The 19426-nt window shown below is 31.3% G+C and overlaps 1 protein-coding gene across 1 annotated transcript in view; it reads right to left on the reverse strand.

Annotated features, from left to right (window-relative positions):
* CDH9 (cadherin 9) overlaps nt 1–18385 on the reverse strand; it is a 157990-nt gene extending 139605 nt beyond the window's left edge. Inside the window, exon 1 of the mRNA NM_016279.4 lies at nt 18262–18385. The gene's annotated coding sequence lies outside the window, so the exon portion shown is untranslated. The remainder of the gene's footprint in view (nt 1–18261) is intronic.

Consider the following 19426-nt stretch of genomic DNA (forward strand, 5'->3'; position numbering starts at 1 on the left):
AATATTTAATTTAAAAAAACAATTATTTAAAATGGTTGTTTGTTTCCAAAGTAAGGGTTAAGCAAATACACTTAAACAGCTTAAAAATAAAAATGAAAATATACCTCTGCATTTATACTTTTAGATGTGTAAAATAATTACTTAACTTCTTTTTTTCTGGAAACCAACAATTCCATGAATTTTATATTTACACAATTGGCATTTACTGCTATTAAATATTAAAATACTATACTTAATTACTGCAGAATAATAAACTAAAAAAATTAACCAAATGTGATGATAATTTGCTTTTCAGTAGCTTGAATTATTTTAGTGTTAGTACTGAATTATTTTAAGTGATGTTATTATAAGGTAAGATATATGTCTATCTTAAGTGTTTATTTTGTGCATATTATTGTTAATTATATATTTTTTAAGAAAGTTGCACAGACTTTTGTTTTATACATCTTGATCCGATGTATTATTTTCTATGCCATTATGAAAATAACTGAGAAAAAATTTTAAGAACATTTAAGAATTCACACACGCACACACACACACACACACTATATATATATATATATGCCTAGTGTTCAATACATTTTAAGGTTATTCTTGGTTATTAAATGCTTTAAGTGTAGCTAGTACATAGTTCATGGGATAATTGAGCTCAGATATTTTATCTGGATAAATAGTATTTTAAAACCCTCATACAATTGACGGTTAATTCTTTTAGAATAATGTGTATTTAAACACTGTTATCAAAATATATCCTTAATTTTGGGAAGTGTTCAATGGCTGATAAATCAACTAGTAAAACTACTTCTAAGTGTAGATTTGGCTTACTTTCTTTTGAAAACTGATGAAAATGATTATTTTATAGAGTTTAATCATGGAATAAATATTGACTCAAATATTATAAAATGCCAGTAGAAATGAAGGCATATTAGGGGAGTCTCTCCTATTTTCATATTATAATCTGGGCCATCCAAAAGAGGGAGCTAAAGCATTGTGTTAAGCAGTTTGGTTTTATGAATGTGAGGTTTGGAGCAGTTTTACACATGAATTGCACACTGTGTCTATATGTACATTTAACTGAGTTTGACGTTGACTTATTAATGACATATTAATAGTCAGCACTTATGATCTACAATTGTATATTCCCCCAGAAGAAAATGTTTTTCAACAATCAGAAAATAATAAAAATATATTACAAAAGTTGGAAGAAATATTAATTAAAATCTCTTCCTAAATTTTGAGTCTTATAAAGGAGAAAAATCATATAAGCCTCATATAACTTCCATCACATGATTTATTTCCCTACACTTATACAAGTAAGACTAATAACATTGAAGTTTTGTCCATACTCATGAATACTCTTTTAAAATAGTATAAAATATGATGCAGTTATAAAGTTCCAAACAGGAGTGTATAAGATTTTATATAACGTCAACAATATCATTGGCAAAGAGATCCTGTATGCTAATTATGTGTGGTTTATCCAACACAGCTGCTCTTCATGTTCCCCATAGACTGGGGCAAGATATCATTATAAATAAAGGTTCATTGCTAGAGTAAAAGAGAATCTGTAGAACTTTATTGTAAAACTGCATTTTACAACAGGATTAATTTAATTAGTGAATAGATTAATTTCCTTCTTCATAACATCAGGAAGAAATCTCTAACTCCAGAAGGAAATCACAAGAAGAGGAGATAATTTACCTATAAATAATTAATTTTCATGTAAATAGACTGTGAAAACAAAATGTTTAATTCACTATCGGATACTCTCGTGTTGTTATGTTTCCTCCAGACATTACATTGAAACAGAGGGTGTTGCTCTTTTGTGAATTGGGGGTGCTTATCTTACACCTTCATGCTTTTCTTATTACTCCCATAACACTATAGATAAAACACGGTTAAGAATAGTAATTTCTGATGCGTCTAGTATCTGAAGTTCCTTACAGAGAATTTTTTTAATACATAAACCAATGAAATATCAAGCACAGAATTTTGGAAACATGCCAATATATAATCTCTCAATGAAATAACTGATTGTACATGTTTTTTTTAATCTAGTTTTTCACAAATTGAGTTTTTTTAAAGGATCATTGGACCTTAGAATTATTTATTCTTTGAATGATTCCAACATTTACCTTTAAAATTGTCAGACTGACATGTATACGTTGTCTTCTTCAAAGGATTGAACAGTTGTATTGACAAATTTCTCCATACCACACAATTCCTTGATATAATAATTTGTAAATGCAAATAGTATCAAACATAGCACAATGTTATAGTTGCATAAACATATATAACGAGTTCAGTCAAATGAGTTGATTACTAATTGAATTAGTCATACCACACAATTTAAAATAGATAACTGATGGCTGAAACATATGTTTCTTTTAGGTGGCTGATAACTGAATTTGTTACGGGGTAATGCCAGATGTGACTGTCTTGACTGCACAGTTTAAGCAGAGTGTTCTGCAGACAGGGTAAACGAATACATTTCTGAATATGTCGGACAATAATGAAATTCTAAACCACATTCTTTTTATACACAGAAAGACTGATATCCATGTGGGAAAATTTAGGCAATATGGAAGTCAATGGAACAGACTCAGTTCTGGTGCTAAACCGGTCACCAACACAGAGGACTCCACATCTTAGAAAAGGTCTTCAGGGAGTCCAGTTCTGAGGCCATGATATTTAGACTTTTGGATACTTCCAAGTAGTTCAGTTATTTGTATTGTTCTTTTTTTTTTATTTTCCTTATAGGATGGAAGCTTATTACAAAAGTGGTTGAAAGTTTAATACGACTATTTTCAAGCAAAGTTGTAAATGACTTTGAAACTGAAAGAGCCCTTAGATGTCTTCTAGCCTCTTTCCATCATTTTAAAAATGAAGACGTTAAGCCCCAGTGTGGAAAATGAATACAAGATCCCTCTCTTTCTGATCTTTTGACTCCCATCCATTGCTCTCTTTACAATACTAATGGTGTAATGTATATGGTGGAGTGTAATTCCACCACATACAATTTGGGAAATGTTTAGTTAACTCTTTAGTACTGGAAGACAGAATAGACACTTTGCATAAATCAATTCTTTCTTCTTCACTCGGGAGGCTCGGTTGATTCATCATATTTTTGTTTTAGGAAGATTTTCATAGAAAGCCAGGCCCAACCACAGTAGTGAATTCAATGGTACTCATTTTTCTCTGTTTGTTACTTATGCTTAATACAATGCCATATTTTACATGTAAAGGATTATGAAACAAAAATAATTTTGTAAAAATATATAGATTCTCATTGATAATGAATTCTTATTTATATAACTACTCTAGTAGGCCTGGATTCTACTCTTTTTTGTTTATTTGTTTGTTTGCTGCAGGGTCACTTTTTAAACAATTTCTCAGGGTGTTGGTATTCTTACCTGTAAAATCAGTCAATTAATTATACTGTAAATTTGCTTTCTTCTTGCTGTAATAATCCGTAACTATATTGAATCATTCTTTTCTTAAAGTTCTTATATCCAACAGAGATAAAATCTTGTAGGATTAACATTTTTATTTAAAAATAGCATGTAAGGGCCAGGCATGGTGGCTCAAGCCTGTAATCACAGCACTTTGGGAGGCTGAGGCCAGCGGATCACCTGAGGTCAGGAGTTCAAGACCAGTCTGGCCAACATGGTGAAACCCCATCTCTACTAAAAATACAACACTTAGCTGGGCATGGTGGTGGGCACCTGCAATTGCATCTACTCGGGAGGCTGAGGTAGGAGGTTTGCTTGAACCCGGGAGGCTGAGGTTGCAGTGAGCCCAGATTATGCCACTACATTCCAGCCTGGGTGACAAAGCTAGACTCTGTCTCAAAAATAAATAAATAAATAAATAAATAATAAAAATAAACATAGAATTTAATTTCATTAGAAACCATTTTAACTTGACCCTATTTTTATTAATGATGAAAACTGGACAAATATTTTCTAAGAACCATGTTTTTCACACATTTTCAAATATATTTTTCATACTCTCATAAATAGAGATTTTTATTCTCTGTGCCCTTGGAAAGTATGACTGCTTACATAATTTTTAACTATTTTTCAATTTTTTCAATATGTTCTTATTGTTACTCCCACTCTGCATTCATGATTAATTATATGGTATTTTTAAAAGCCAGTGTAAATTTCTTTTGAAAAAATGTAGTGTCACATCAAGTAAAATCCCAGTCAGGACAAAACATCTTTTCAATCATTTATTTGGAGGTATAATTATGTTTTGTTTTCCACCTTCCTAAGAGTCTAGGCAAGAAAAACTAAAATATGTAAGGAAAAGTGTTACTACTCTTCTCAAACACAGTAGTGAAATTATCTTGAGCCACTATTAGAAACTGACAGTTTGAGTATATATTTGAGTGAATGTAATAATAATAAACAAGAATAACAATAAACTCTTTGATACTTGCATTACCACAGTCATTAACAACAATTCCAAGAATTCTAATTATCTACATTTTTGCATGAGAAAACTGATATTTGGAGAAATGAAATAAATTAATTGATACGACATTGAAACTTATGTTCTGACTAAGAGCCTGAATTCTTAACCATTACGTTTAATATTTAGGTATACTAGAGTTGATTTCTACTCTGTAGCTGAAAACATAGGGCTAGTAGTTTGAGCTGGGAATGGAGGTGCAGGAAAGTAGGAGACATAGAGTTAGCACGGATCAAAAGTCATAAATACCATATCACTTACAATGCAGCATATGATTTAGTATGATAGTTAAGCAATGCAGAAAAAAATAATAATTTAGCAAAACAGGATTCACCCAAAATACAGTGTTGCATTTCCTTATAGAAAATATCTATTAATTTTTTTGTGATATAATCTTAAAAATCCAAATTGGGTATTATTTATTTCTTACAACATTTCAGCCAAAATGTGTAATCTATTGTGTAGATTGAGAAGCATATTATCTGTGTGTTATTTGGGGAAAGAATATTGGCATTACAACTGTTTAATTCACACAAGCGGTATAGACCTATCAATGTATTTTGAGTAACACGCTGACAGATATTTTTAAGGAAAGTTTTCCAAGCATTCTGCTAAAAGCTTAAAGTTCAATGTTTAGTAAATACATTGCATATCAGGAGATTCAAGAAAAGATGACTGGGCTCATCACCTAATACAGATATGGTACGGAAAATAACTGGAGACCAATCAGAAGACTGACCAGAGTCCTGATACAAAGAAACACAGGCTACTTTAGTACAATTAACTCAGAAAGCTTAACTGGAGATCATCAAAAGAATAAGTCAATAAAGAGGGAAGAGAAGCCGTAAAAGTACCAAAGAAATAAAGGTTGGCATGAAGCAATAGACAAAGTGCTAACAGTGGAACCTGCAAGACAACAAACAGTTTCTGGGAATTAGAGAAGAAATGCCATTGTGTAATTAGGTTCCTTCTTTTGGAAACTGTACTTAAAGGATGGAAAATGTTCAAGATAAAAAATCACACAGATAGGGAAGGACTTGACCTTTGGCGACATTTGAGAGAAGTCTAGAACAACAGGTTCTTATTCTCTCGTGCCTCCATGAAGAATAGAACCTCCCTCAACATTCAGACTAAAGGAGCGTCAATCCATTTAACAGAATTATATTTTTTGGAGAGTTGTAAGATTGTGTCCTGTATTATTATAAATAAAGATGCAGAAGTTGACAGAGACATATACTGATATATATTCTTACACTAAGTTCCCACTTCCTGCCTTAGCTTCAGTGAGTCTTTCACTTATAACCAGGAGGCACTGGAGAACTAAGTTTTTTGGACACTCACAGTTAAAATTTTAATACTTTATAGTAGCTGCTTGAACTCTCTGTTTGAAATTTATTAATAGCAATATTTAATGAAATTCTAACTTTGTATACATAAAAAGATGAACATTATATCATATTGGAATATCTTATTTAATCAAGCAAGAAAAAAATAGAATGTAGGTTTTAATTAATAAAACACTGAAACAAGAAATGGAAAGTGTCCAGTTCACATTCTTATTATATGTTTATAATTGCTGAGATAAGCATAATATAACAATGTGGGGTTTATGAATTAAATTAACTAGAGTTAGAATTCTATTCTAACATGAGTAAATTTCGTTAACATACCAGGGCTGTTTCACCTGTCATTTTTGCTACCCAAAATGGTATGTGTCATAATATTTCCTTCTCCTCATTTGGATCCAATTCAAATGTCACCTTCTCCAAGAAACCTCCCTCACCAAGTTCATAAAGCTCTACTTACCTCTCCAATCACTCTCCATTATACCACCTGTTTACACAGAATTTAAAAATATTTTAATTATTCTTTTTGTTATTTGTATCACTCCTCTAGAAAATACCTTCTTGTGATTAAAAACTTTGTATCATACTCACTGCTACAATATTAGCACCCAGAAAAATGTATGATGCATAGTAAAGTTTGAACAAACATTTGGTGCTAATGCTTGACTATAGAAAAAAAATTAGTAAATACTATAAATTTAAATATTTTGTATATTTTATAAACATTAACTCCAGTTGACAATGCATTAGGAAAACCAGTAAATCATTAACATTCACCAAAAATATACTGTTCAAATTAATTTTGGTGAATGTTACTTGCAAGTATGCAATCATTATTACCATTTTTGTTAGAATCATATTTTTCAAACCACAATAAAATCCTTATATAAATGAATCATCTTTCATAAGTTGTAGTCATTTTAAGGTCAAGAATGGCATTCACTTTACAGTTGTTAATGCAATTCAAGACTAAAAGGGGGAAGTCGTAAATAGATTAAAAAACCAAACTCAAATACTTGGCATTAAAATAGATTATGATATGAGAGCCTATGAAATTTTATTATTATTGACTTAAAAGACTTTCATCATTCACTCACATCTCCAAGATCCATGAGTAGTATACTCATTTTAACTTCAAGCGATAAAGTGTAGAGTGTTCTATCTATGATATTGAGTATTCTATATTAATTTCAAGTAATATAAACTTGCAACACAAAATTGTTCAAAATATTAAGTATTTCCATTGTGTGCTATGTCAACTTAAGGAACCTTATGATGTGAATATTTACATTCAGACTTAGCCTATCTAATTTCAAGAACAATGAAATTAATCATTAAATTAATCTAGGCCACTGTCCTACTTTTGTATATGGTGGGTCTCAATACCCTTTACCCAGATATAAAGAACCTGAACCATAACCATCTTAAGAATAATGGTAGTCATTAAAGAAGCCATCAATTGTGTCTCCTCATAAAACCCTACAATGTAGTTACTGCTAATATCTTAGTTTTGCACAGGAAGCTCCTGGAGCCCCAAGGCATTAGAAGACTTTCTCAAACTCACACATGAAGTATAGAGTATAACTAATTTTTGTAAGTAGGATATCTGGCTCCAGGACTCTACCTGTCCTTACGCTGACTATCAAAAAATATTGCCTACTAAACTTCTTGTTTACTACATTTTATACATGGGACAATTTGCACCCAGAAGTAAAGATAACCTACTAGCAAAACAGAGAAAGTAAATATGGGAGCTGGGAAGAGATCATGGGTCTCCACATGCATGGGGCTGACATCATCAGCCTAGTGCACTTTTGTTTTTATTCTGATAAAATTGTGTTGTTGATCATACACGTTTCAATTTATGAACTGTTAAGCAGTCCATACATTTTTGGGGGGATATGAAACTCTCTATGGATAACATGAAAGCTGTAGTCTTTCTTCCAGTAAACTCAAATTAAAACATAAATACAATATTTTTGGACAGATTTCAGAATAGTTTTGACTATTTAAAATGTATACTTTGACATTATAGGGCAGTAGCCCTCAGGTTTTTGTGATCAAGAATTTCTAGGCCAGGCATGGTGGCTCACGCCTGTAATCCTAGCACTTTGGGAAGCTGAAGTGGACAGATCACTTGTGCTCAGGAATTCAAGACCAGCCTGGCCAACGTGGTGAAACCCATCTCTACCAAAAAATACAAAAGTTAGCTGGGAATGTTGGCACGCACCTGTAGTCCCAGATACTTGGGAGGTTGAATCACAATAATCACTTGAACCCAAGAGGCAGACGTTGCAGTGAGCCAAGATCCTGCCACTACACTCCAGCCTGGGCGACAGAATGAGACCTGTCTCAAAAAAAAAAAAAAATTCCTTGGTAACAATAAATACCCTAGACTCCTCTTTCTGAATTTACTGTATACTGCATAGGGCTTGATATAGTCTTTAATAATTGATAGGTACTGTTGTAATGGACTGGTAGTTGAGAATGATATTTGAATAACAGAAAATCATATGAAAAAGGGCATGAAGTCAGGCAAGGACAAGTCTTTTCCACAAAGTGTGGTATCTGTTTTGACGAGAGTGATTTTCACTAGAGTGATTTTGAAAGTACACTTGGAGATAATTCAATTCCTCAAGTATTTCCTGACAAAATTCTGTTTCAAGTACATTTTTAGGTACTGGTTTATAGATATAAATGAAAAACCATATTTTAAGACTCAGAATATAGCAGAAAAAAATTAAAATACAGGAAAAAACCAATTGCCAAAAACCAAAAACTTAGATTCAAGAAATGTACTTCCTTACATTTCTGGATGTGATGGAGTGTTGGTAGGGATACAGAGAGAGAAGATTACTTGAACAGATCCTTACTTGACAAAATTATATTTTGTAGAATGTATCAATAGTTAAAGGAATTGTTGGCCACGTGAACAACTAAAAGATTACTTAAATATTATGGCAAAAGAGGTATTAATTTTCTCAAGAAGAATGATCCAAGGACTAAATAGGAAAGGCCAATGTAAGATATAGTAAAGGTTATATCTCACTCAATTTGACAACATCTTATTTTAAAAGAGATAATTACAAATCATGGAAACTTTTTTTTTCTATACGAAGCTTTTGGAAACATTGAGGAATAATGAAAACATGACCTTAAACTAATTTGAAATGTTATAGCATAATTATTGTGTTAATTCATATTAAGATTATTGGTTTCAATTTTAGAGGCAATATCAAAGAGAATTCACTTCACACAGGGTTAGTTCCTGGTAGGATATGATCTATAAAATATTTCTCACATAATTGGAGTAATGTGGGATGTTTATACTGAAGAGAAAATATAGTAGGCTAAACAAAATTTTCTTTGAATGAATTTAATGCTATTAAATAGAGGTGGAATAAAGATCAGTTCCAAGCTATCTAGACAAAACAAAGTCAGAGAGAGAGAAAGTTACAAGCAGATATTTTATCACAATGACAAGAAAAGAATCTCTATGTGAAGTTGTTTGAAACAGTGGTCTACAAGTGAAGGTGCTCTTCCCAGCGCAGCAGGTGCAGCCTCATCACAGCACAGTACCTAAGATGTAGTAAGTGTTCAATAAGGAGAAAATTTAAATGTAAGGCAATGACATAATCAGGTAATGGATGGATGAATAAATTATTACCAAAAAAAATCTAAGGATCTTTTTCCTGATTACGAGTCTAAATGAGAGGAAAGTGAAGGGCTCATACAGGATCCCAAATAGACTTCTCAAGGAATCTGCACACATTTGGGAGATCACACTACAGTGGTGGTGTTTTGAGAAGCATTGCTTCCTACACCTACAAATTATAAGATGGGCTGACATCGCTATGACATGGAAGTGAGACACAAGATCAGCTTCTTAATGTGAAAAGTTAGATACGTCAATTATGGGGCTCCCGAGGCCAAGCAGAAAGTATAAAAACATTTTGCCACTTTGTCTCTCCACTCCACCTACCTCCATTAAAGGTAGTAATAAGTATACAAGGATATCCTTTGCTTTTCAAGCCTCAGTTTTTCTTAACAATTCTCCAAAATTCTCATGCAACTGTATACCTGCAGGACTGCATTGTTGGAAGAGTAGACAGGTCTTCTTGTTAGTAAAAGTACTTCTCCTCGTTCTACTTATCTCTTCTTCGTGAATTGTGACCTTGACAATACTCAACTCCCTGTAAGGTTCATTTCCCGTAGTAGGGAGAGATGGGGGAGAGGAGAGGAGGTTCTAAAGCTGATCATAAAATACATTGATCCATTTTTATTAGTTTCCACATCTAAGGAGTTTCTGATGTTGAAAAAGCCACTTTTTTTTTAGCAATTAACTGAATAATCTCCCAAAATGAATGCCAGGTTAAAAAGGAGAAGCACTTTTAGTTAAATTTATTCCGTCTTTGAAGTAAAAGAGTGGGGTAGGGAATAATGAACCAGGGAAAGCAGAAAAGCAGGGGGGATGGAAATAGAAGTAGCAGAGAAGCAGGGATTAAAAAAAAAAAAAAGCTGTACTGAAGTCAAGAAACACAGGTGCTCAAAAGCAAAAATATAAATAAGTCATCACAGTTTATTGCAAGGAGAAGACTTAACTGCTTTCTAGGTATCAGCATAGATTTATGCTCAATTTGTTAGAAAGCAGTAGACAACATACAACCTAAGTCAACTTTATTTTAGCCATCAAATGATTTAGAATTAAAGCATAACAAAAAAATACAGAAGGAGATGAGTGTGGATATCTTTCCTCAAAGATTATATTTAAAGGAGCAAATACATATAACACTCAGCACATGAATCTAGTATATTAAATATAGTGAGAGTAATTCTTTACATCTAGATATAATTATATACTTAGTATATTATTTGAATTTTTTTAGTGTATATGTTATCTAGAACATTTTAAATCACATGCTAACTACTAAAAATATCTTCTGTAATCCTAACTTATATGCTTTCTTTTCTGCAGGCTAACATTGGTTACAAATCTACTTTTTTTCAAGTTGGTTATTTAATACGTTTAAATTTTTCTCACCATAAAGGTAATTAAAGATCACTTTCATACAAGGCTGCTTAACATAAGCCAAAAACTGAGAAAGAAATATAACTAAAACATTACATAATTAGAATTGGATAAATGATTACAACTGCTATTTTAATAAAAAATTCATACCACTGAAGGTTTATAAAACATCCCTTATTCATAGAAAACCGCTATATTGTATGACTATACATAGAATTCTAAAATGATAAAATACTTATTTTTCAAGATATCTTTTCAAATTCATACTTTATAGAACAAAATATTATTTTTAAGTGGTTAGGATACATTTCTTCAAATAGATAACTGAAGTAGAATTTTCAATCTGGGTTAAAATCTCCTCACACTCTATATAGGCCTTTTACTCACATTTTCCTGTAATTTAGGAAGATTACAATTTATGGTCATTGCAATATAAATATAAGACATACATAAGTCACATATTTACTCTGCAATAACATTGTATTATTTCCTGAATGTGTGTTTAAAAATTTATTCAATGTAAGACTTCAACAGACCTAGTTTAGTCTTAGGCTTATGGAAGAATTTTCTTGCCCATGTTTAATAAAGGGTTGCAGTGATCCCAAAGCCAATGCTTTATCTGTCAACTAGCAAACTTGCATGCCTAATAGGTCTGGAAGGAGCAAAAGGTCTACAATGGCAACATTTTTCAATGTAAACGGTTGTGTGACTGTGCTACTGAGTCTGCTATGGACTCCCACGCCTCTCGTGTCTTCATTCTGTCATTTGGTCTCTGTAGGTTTCAACATTAATCTTTGGGTATAAATGCTTATGAACTCCCAGTAGCTAGTGACACATACTTATTTCAAGAAATTTTATCAGAACAATTCTCTTCTTAATTTTCTAAAATCACAAATGATTCCAAAGTTGAAACTTACTTTCCTATTTAAATAAAATCATCTGACATATTTAGCTATTGAAAAACCAAGTTTAACAAAGGTCACAGGTCCAAAGTTGTGAGGGTGAGACACATAACACATATTTATATATTTAGCTGTCTATATATAGAGATATGTATAAATATGAACAGACTATTGATAAAAACTTTCCATTTTAATATGCTGAAATAGCCCTATAATATTTTTAAGAGCACTTTATTATTGATATTCACCATTTGTATTTTAATAGAACTTCATATTTTAAACTAAAGTTCATTATAATTATAAAGATAAATATATTTATTACAAGTGTAATAATATTCTTTATTGTCAGTGATTGTATTAGGCATCTGAATTCTAAACTAAACAAAAAAGACAGATGAATATCATTTGAATAAATAAGTGTACATATTATTATAATAGTTAATTATTTAATTTTTGGAAAATTATGTATTGTCAGAATCTGACATCTTATTTAATGCTAGTGTATGAAAAAGCTGAATTAAAACCATATTAAATATGTCACATCATCTAGATAAACTGGCAAAACTTAGGGGAGGCAGAAAACTATTTTCTCTCTTCCAACAGTTGAACCTATTCCACTCCCTGCTTAATACATGTGTAAATGCTTTATTAAGTTGTAACATTAATAAGTTGTGACATTAATCTAGAAGGAGTGGTAGTAATAAAATATTTCTCTGTTTTATGAATTACTGTAGATCACACACAAGAAAAAAGCAATACTATTTAAACTTAGTATCATTTTTAATATAAAGTAAATATACAATCAAGCACATTGTTAATTTACCTAGAAATACAACAAACATTTAATAGCTTATTGACTCTCGGGGAAAATAGTCAACTAAATAATTAAAAATTTCACCATATAATATATTTGCTTTGTATTATACATGACTAATGTAAAATTATAATAATTTTATTTCCTGATAATAATTATCTACTTTTTGTCTAAACATAGTTTGAGATAGCATTAACTTCTATGTTATATATTTCTCATCCACTGTAAATGTGGGTAAAAAGATAATAAATTTTGTGAGGTGTTCAAGAATTGTGAACATTCAATAAAGAATAATTATTTCTAGATACAGTTAAAAAAATAAAATTCTAATTTTTCCTATTCAAAAAATTATCCAAGTCAACCATTGTAGATGGACTATAATTGAGTTTAAGATTTTCCAAAAATAAAAAATTTTCAAATGGTATTTTATCATTTGTTTATAATATAATATCTAATATTGACTAATAAAGGAGTTATTTTAGTTCCTCCAGTTACACATTGTAATAATTAAATATTATAATTAATTTATGTGAACATTGAATGTTCACAATTTTTGAATTAATTCATTGTGCTTTCTTTCTGTTTTCCATATGTATTCTGGATGCATACACACACAAACATACAGACATAGCTATAGATACAGATATACAGAAATATGAATGAAGAAACATATGCAGATATAAAGATATAAAGACATAGATAGACAGACAGATAGACAGACAGACAGACAGACAGATAGATGTCACTTTGTAATTTCAACTAAGTTTACTCTTAACTTTCTGTTAAGTTTTCTTGAACTGTTAAGTTTTCCTTAACAGGAAACTGTTACATTTCCTCTGCGGTTTACTTACCATTAAAATTTAAAAAAAACAAAAAACAAAAAAACACAATTTTTTTATGTGTTCTTTATATTGTGAAGCATTTATAACATATATATGGGAATATTTTTAAACATATTTCTAGAAATTATGTAATAATACTACAGTAACCTGCTTTGGTAGAAAAAAATACAAATACATTTTAGAGTTGGCTGATTGTCTGGGGAAAACTCCCTTAGACAACTTTTAAGACTGAATTCCCAGTTTTATAAAAGCAGTATATTTTATATAATGTCTTTTGACCCAGGAAGTGAATTACTGTTGCTCTTTTGCCTGGATTACACTTTGTTATATGCATTATTTGTTGTCTCCCCTGTTATACAGCTTCCGGTGTATATGCTTTATTTTTTTATATGACTTTCCAAAGATGTTCTTTTACTAAATATGAGGAAAAAGCTTATTACACTTTGGAAACTGTGTTAATAATATATAAAGTATGTCGACTGCAGCATATTCCAATATAAATTCTGTTAGATAAATGTTTCTTTCAACATCGAATACATTAATGAACATGTTAAATCTTTCATATTCAAATTTAAATAATAATTATTAGTTACTACTATTTCCACTGTAAATTGAATTAGTGTTTGGAGTAGAAATTAAAATGAAGTCATCTATGCTCTTCAGAATTGTAAAGTCGATTTCAAAATCTGATATGAGGGGTTGGCTTTTTAATCCATATTTATGAAACAATCATATGCTCGTGTTTCATCGATCAATTAGAGAGATCAAAAATTATCTTGCTCATCAAGAGAAATAGAAGATATACAAGAATGCTTATTTCTCCTGCAATTGGTTTATAATTTGCTAAATTAATAGGATAGAAAAAAATCTCAGAAAAACTTTGAATGTCATTTTAAGAAAATATTCAGCTCTTTACTTTTTTTACTTTTATTCCTAAAATATAAATAAATAAATAATACATCTCTCTCTTACACACACACACACACGCACACAGAGCATCTGACCACAACACCCCATGATGTTTCCACTTTCCTCTCATAGCCAATGAGATCCATTATAATGACTTTTATGTTTGGAGAGGTGTTTCTTGGAAATGTTAATATGAAATCTCTTGGTCAGGCTCCAGAGACCCTGCTTTTGTTCAGGCACTTTGCATTTGTAATGTGGCTAGAAGACTATGTCTTACTAGTGCTAAATTTAGGGATAAGTGCATTAACATGTTAGGGCTGTTATGGAAATGTAGAAGAGTGCTATAAAGACATTTTCCTCACTGTACACTCCTTACCATATTTTAATAATAAGGATAATGGTGCTTCCAGGCAGAGAAATTGAAATGACTCATAAGAGAAAAAAAATTTTTTTAGATTATTTATAACAATCCAGAATTCATTGTTTTCAATAATCTATACAACTCTATCTATCTATCTATCTAATCTATCATCTATGTATTTATCTATCTATCCTCTATGTATCTGTCTATCATCTCTTTATGTATTTTTCTATATTTCCAATTTGAGTTTCATGGCTTAATAGGATAAGTTTCCACATAATATTGCATATGTATATATATATATATATATATTTAACTTGACAGTCTTGGATATGGAACCTGATCTTTCTAAGCCTCTGCTTTAGTATGTGTCAAATTAAAGATGGAGAGAGTTAAAACTCCTCTTCTAAAGTTCCAAAATTTTATGTAAACATCTAAATAAGATAATGTCATGGGTATTGAGAATTATTCGGGATATCTTTGTAAAGACAACTTGTTTCTGAAAACAAATATGCAAGATACAGAGAAAGAAATTGCTTTATCTTAGGAAACATGTTTTATGTTCTACAATAAAAATGACCATATTTATAAATTTAGCATCAGGTAAAAACAAACAAGACTCATTTGAAATCAATGTCCTTTGGATTATATTTAGCATGCTTTCTTCTTCTTTAAGAAAATTTAACTTTAAGCAGACGATTTACAAGGCAAAATACCCAAGAAACTAACTAGAGTTTTTATTACAAAAAATCTCACCATGAATCAAAATTACTCTATGTTAATATTGCTATTGACGTGTGTGTGTGTGTGTGTGTGTGTGTGTGTGTGTGGGTGTGTGTGGGTGTGTGTGTATGTGTGTCCTTGAAGTCAAAAGTATTACATTGGACATTTTTTAAGATATCTTTTTTCTAATATAAGATTATTTCTACATCATATTTAAATGTGCCTTTGAGTGAGCAAAATTAGTCTTAAAGAATATAGCAAATTAATGATAAATTATATTGAAGCATCTGCATTAATATTGAATAATTATCTATCTAGACTGTTTACTTTCATAGAGAACAAGTTACAGCCAATGTTTATTCATGACACATTCACACATATTTTTAAAATTAACTTTCACCTTAATTTATACTTTCTTGCATATTATATGTTGCCACATTAATTGCATATTTTATATTATATAATTTGTAAGCACTCTCTAAAGCATTCTTATTAACTACACCCATATACTGTAGAAATATTGTGGGGAAGGAGCATCTGCCTCATATCACTATTGATGCCTGAATAGAGCTAAGCCAGTAGAATAAAAACAATCTAATTAACTTTGCTTTAAAAATCTTACTTGGTGAATGTACCATGGACGGGACACTGCATTGGCTAAGCTTGGCATGTATAGGGGTTACAGGAAAACACCAGAACAAATCCCTCCATGTAAGGTGACGTTCAGATGAGCTTCTGATTCAACACACGATTTATCAAGTTGAGCAACACAACATTTAAAAGAATAATTTCAAGATCAACTTTGATATTGTACTCTTCTTACACACAGGCAGTGGTATGAGACATTTTTATTTCCTTCATGCAATGAATGCAATAACAGTAGCATAGTTATGTAAACCATTTCAAATATTTTAAAACTATCAAATACTGTAATAAAAGAAAAATAATATTTTTTATCCTAGAAAAATTATTATCTCATAGGACTATTGTTTTTATTAGTACTACCAAATCTGTCTGACTTTAGTGAATTATTCTTAAATTCATACTACTCTCTGCTTTCTCTAAATCATTTTTTCTATTTATTTCCAGAATTGGATTTGCTCATAATATGTACTTATCTTACATTTTTTTTCATTTTTCAAAACACATATAGAGATGTTGGTATTTCAACATGTTGGCATATATCTATTAAGTGCATATAATTATTTATCTACTCCTCATTTGGAAAAACTTTAGTCAAACCCATAACATATTTGGTGACAAGACTACAAACACATGCTATTTATGTTATGTTCAAGTTCTTTGGTGCTATGTGCTGTAATAGCATGTTATTTCATTTTCCTCATCTTTCAAAAGATCTATGTTTCAAACCTGGATTAGCCAGTTTTATAGTTGCAAAAATGTATTTCACAATGGACACACATTGCCTAGGCAATGATGTAGTGTCTGAATGTGGAAAATAGGATTCTTCTTCTGCAGAATGTAGGAGGAGGTTTTTTACAAAATTGAGAATCTTGAATAATCAAATTCATTCTTAACGGCTGTGCCTGAAGATGGGTAACTCTTCCAAATTCATAGATAAAGCAAAGGGAGTCGAAGGAAGATTCCCTTCTGTCTTGCAAAAGTTACCACTTTTTTTGATGTCACAAAGTCATTCATTCTTCATGCTAAAAAGATTTAGAAACCTTGTGAAAAAATCCCTATTAGGAATCTCATCTACCTATAATACAAAATATAAAATGACAACACATCTCCAGAGAAGACCACCAATTTCTCCTCCAATCTGTAGTCCATTATATCTTCATCAAAAGTTGATGATACAAATAAATGTAAACTTATCTACTACAGTTAATAACTTTCTTTTTATTACACCTTTGTTATTTAAAACAGATTATGAGAATTTCACCCTGGTAACAGTCTCTAACTGTCAATACTAAAGAATTTTGATGACCTTATAGCTAAAATCCAAGCCTTTATTGAGACGAGCCTACCTGCAAAAATTTATTTGATGTGAATGGTGATCTTGAGCATGCGATGGAAAACACAATAAAACAATGCTCCACCAAATCAATGCATTTCCCACATCACTTCAAATTTTTTAAATGCCAATTTTGGCTTAGAAACACTCTCCCTTTCTTGTGGCTTTCATCTATCTAGTCATCATTACATTAAGACATATTTGCCTACAATAATAGAAAGCAATTATAGCTCACAGATGTATACATTCAGAGTGTCGACCTGAGTGGGAGCCACAAATACGTGAAGAAACCTCTTTTACCAGGTAAAGTGATCACCTTAATCCTGACATCCAATATGCATCTGTGGCATTTTTACTATTCATATATTGTTTCATTTATAATATTGAAAATAAAGAAAGCATTTCTTATTCAATTATTAATAAAGATGCCCTTATTTTTGACAATTTTGACTCAAGTGATTTAAACAAAAGTTATGAGAAGACCAGGAGTCCATTTCAAATTAATATAATAATCACATACATGAACACATAAATATGTGAATAATTGAAAGCCACCACAATCAACTGATACAATTTTAAGTTTAGTTTTATTTTTACGACAATATTCCATATGCAAATATGAGGACTATAAAAAGAGCTTGAGTAGGTATCAGCTTTGCAAAAGTAAAATAAGAAGCAAATGTTGCAAGTTTTGTCACTGAGCATGTAAACATTTTACTCAAATACTACTAAAATGTATTCTTATGTGCTTCCAAGTGTTGAGAGAGAGAGAGAGAGAGCAAAATATAGCAACTAGGAGAAAAGCAATATTTGTACTACTTCGTTATAAGAAAGCAAAAACTGAATAGCTTACATTGTCAAGCAAAGTAAATAACACTTACCTTGCTTAACAATGGAACTGAGTTTAGCCCTACTCCGCACTGACAGTTCCGTTGTTGCTTCTGTCTCGGTCCTTCTCTTCCCTTTTTATAGTATCTTCACAGCTGAATCTTCATGCATCTCAGTGTGGCTTTCTCTTCGAGCATCACTTTTAACTCAGACAGGCAGGAAGCTGAAGGCAAAGGAACTCTCTATCTGATTGGTTTCCATTCAGCGTTTCTGATTAATAAGAGACGTCCCTCAAATAGGAAGATATTGCCGCTGATGGCGCTGCAGGGCGCCAGGTTTGGGCTTGGGGGAGTAAGGACTTCTTTGGGCACAATGATTTGCAAGCGAATGAAGTGGGAGGACTCAGAAAGGAGGGCTTTGTCAAAGACCCCCATAAGAGAAAACGACCCAGTGTTTTTAGTCTCGGTTAATCAGCTCTCCTTAATCTGTTTGCAATTGGGAGAGAAAGGTCACAGCATGTCTGTAACCTGTAAATCATCTGTAGAAAATATATATCACAGGGAGAGTGCTGTTGCTCAAAAGAAATTTTGTTTATGGTTCCTGCAGAATTTACTACTACCTATTTCAATTCAGTGTCAAAATGTCAACTTTAAGAAAAAGAGGAGAAAAAAATACAGATAATATATATCATTGATAACGATGAATTTTTTTACTTGTGCCTCTACGAGTTTATAATCTAAAATAGTCTTTTAGAAACATTGTTAAACATCTAAAAATTAATGATTGACATATCTGTTTTCAGTAATTGACATATCTGTTTTCAGTAAAGATAATGGTTTTAAGAATAATTTTAAATTTCTAGAACGACTTTGCTTTTTACCAGATAATGCAATTGAATGAGTTTCATCTTCCCTGGAAATAACCAAAAATAATGGTGACCATAGCCACATCACAAAAACTACATGATCCACCTGTTAGAGTCCCTGTTGCACATTGTACACCTCTTAGAGCGGGTGGACCAAAGCTAAAGTTAAACCCTGCTTCAGAAAGAAGTCTGTTTAGTATTTCTGGAAATGGCACAATAAGAAAGATATTGATTAGTAGATAAATCCTTCTGAAAAGAAGTTCTAGTAATAGTTGTATGAAATGCACGGTGGGGATATGGCTCACTTTATAACGGCTCGTTAAGTCACAGTAAGTAAATAGCTTAAGTGCGAA

Source organism: Homo sapiens, chromosome 5 (genome assembly GCF_000001405.40).
Source record: "Homo sapiens chromosome 5, GRCh38.p14 Primary Assembly".
NCBI lineage: Eukaryota > Metazoa > Chordata > Mammalia > Primates > Hominidae > Homo > Homo sapiens.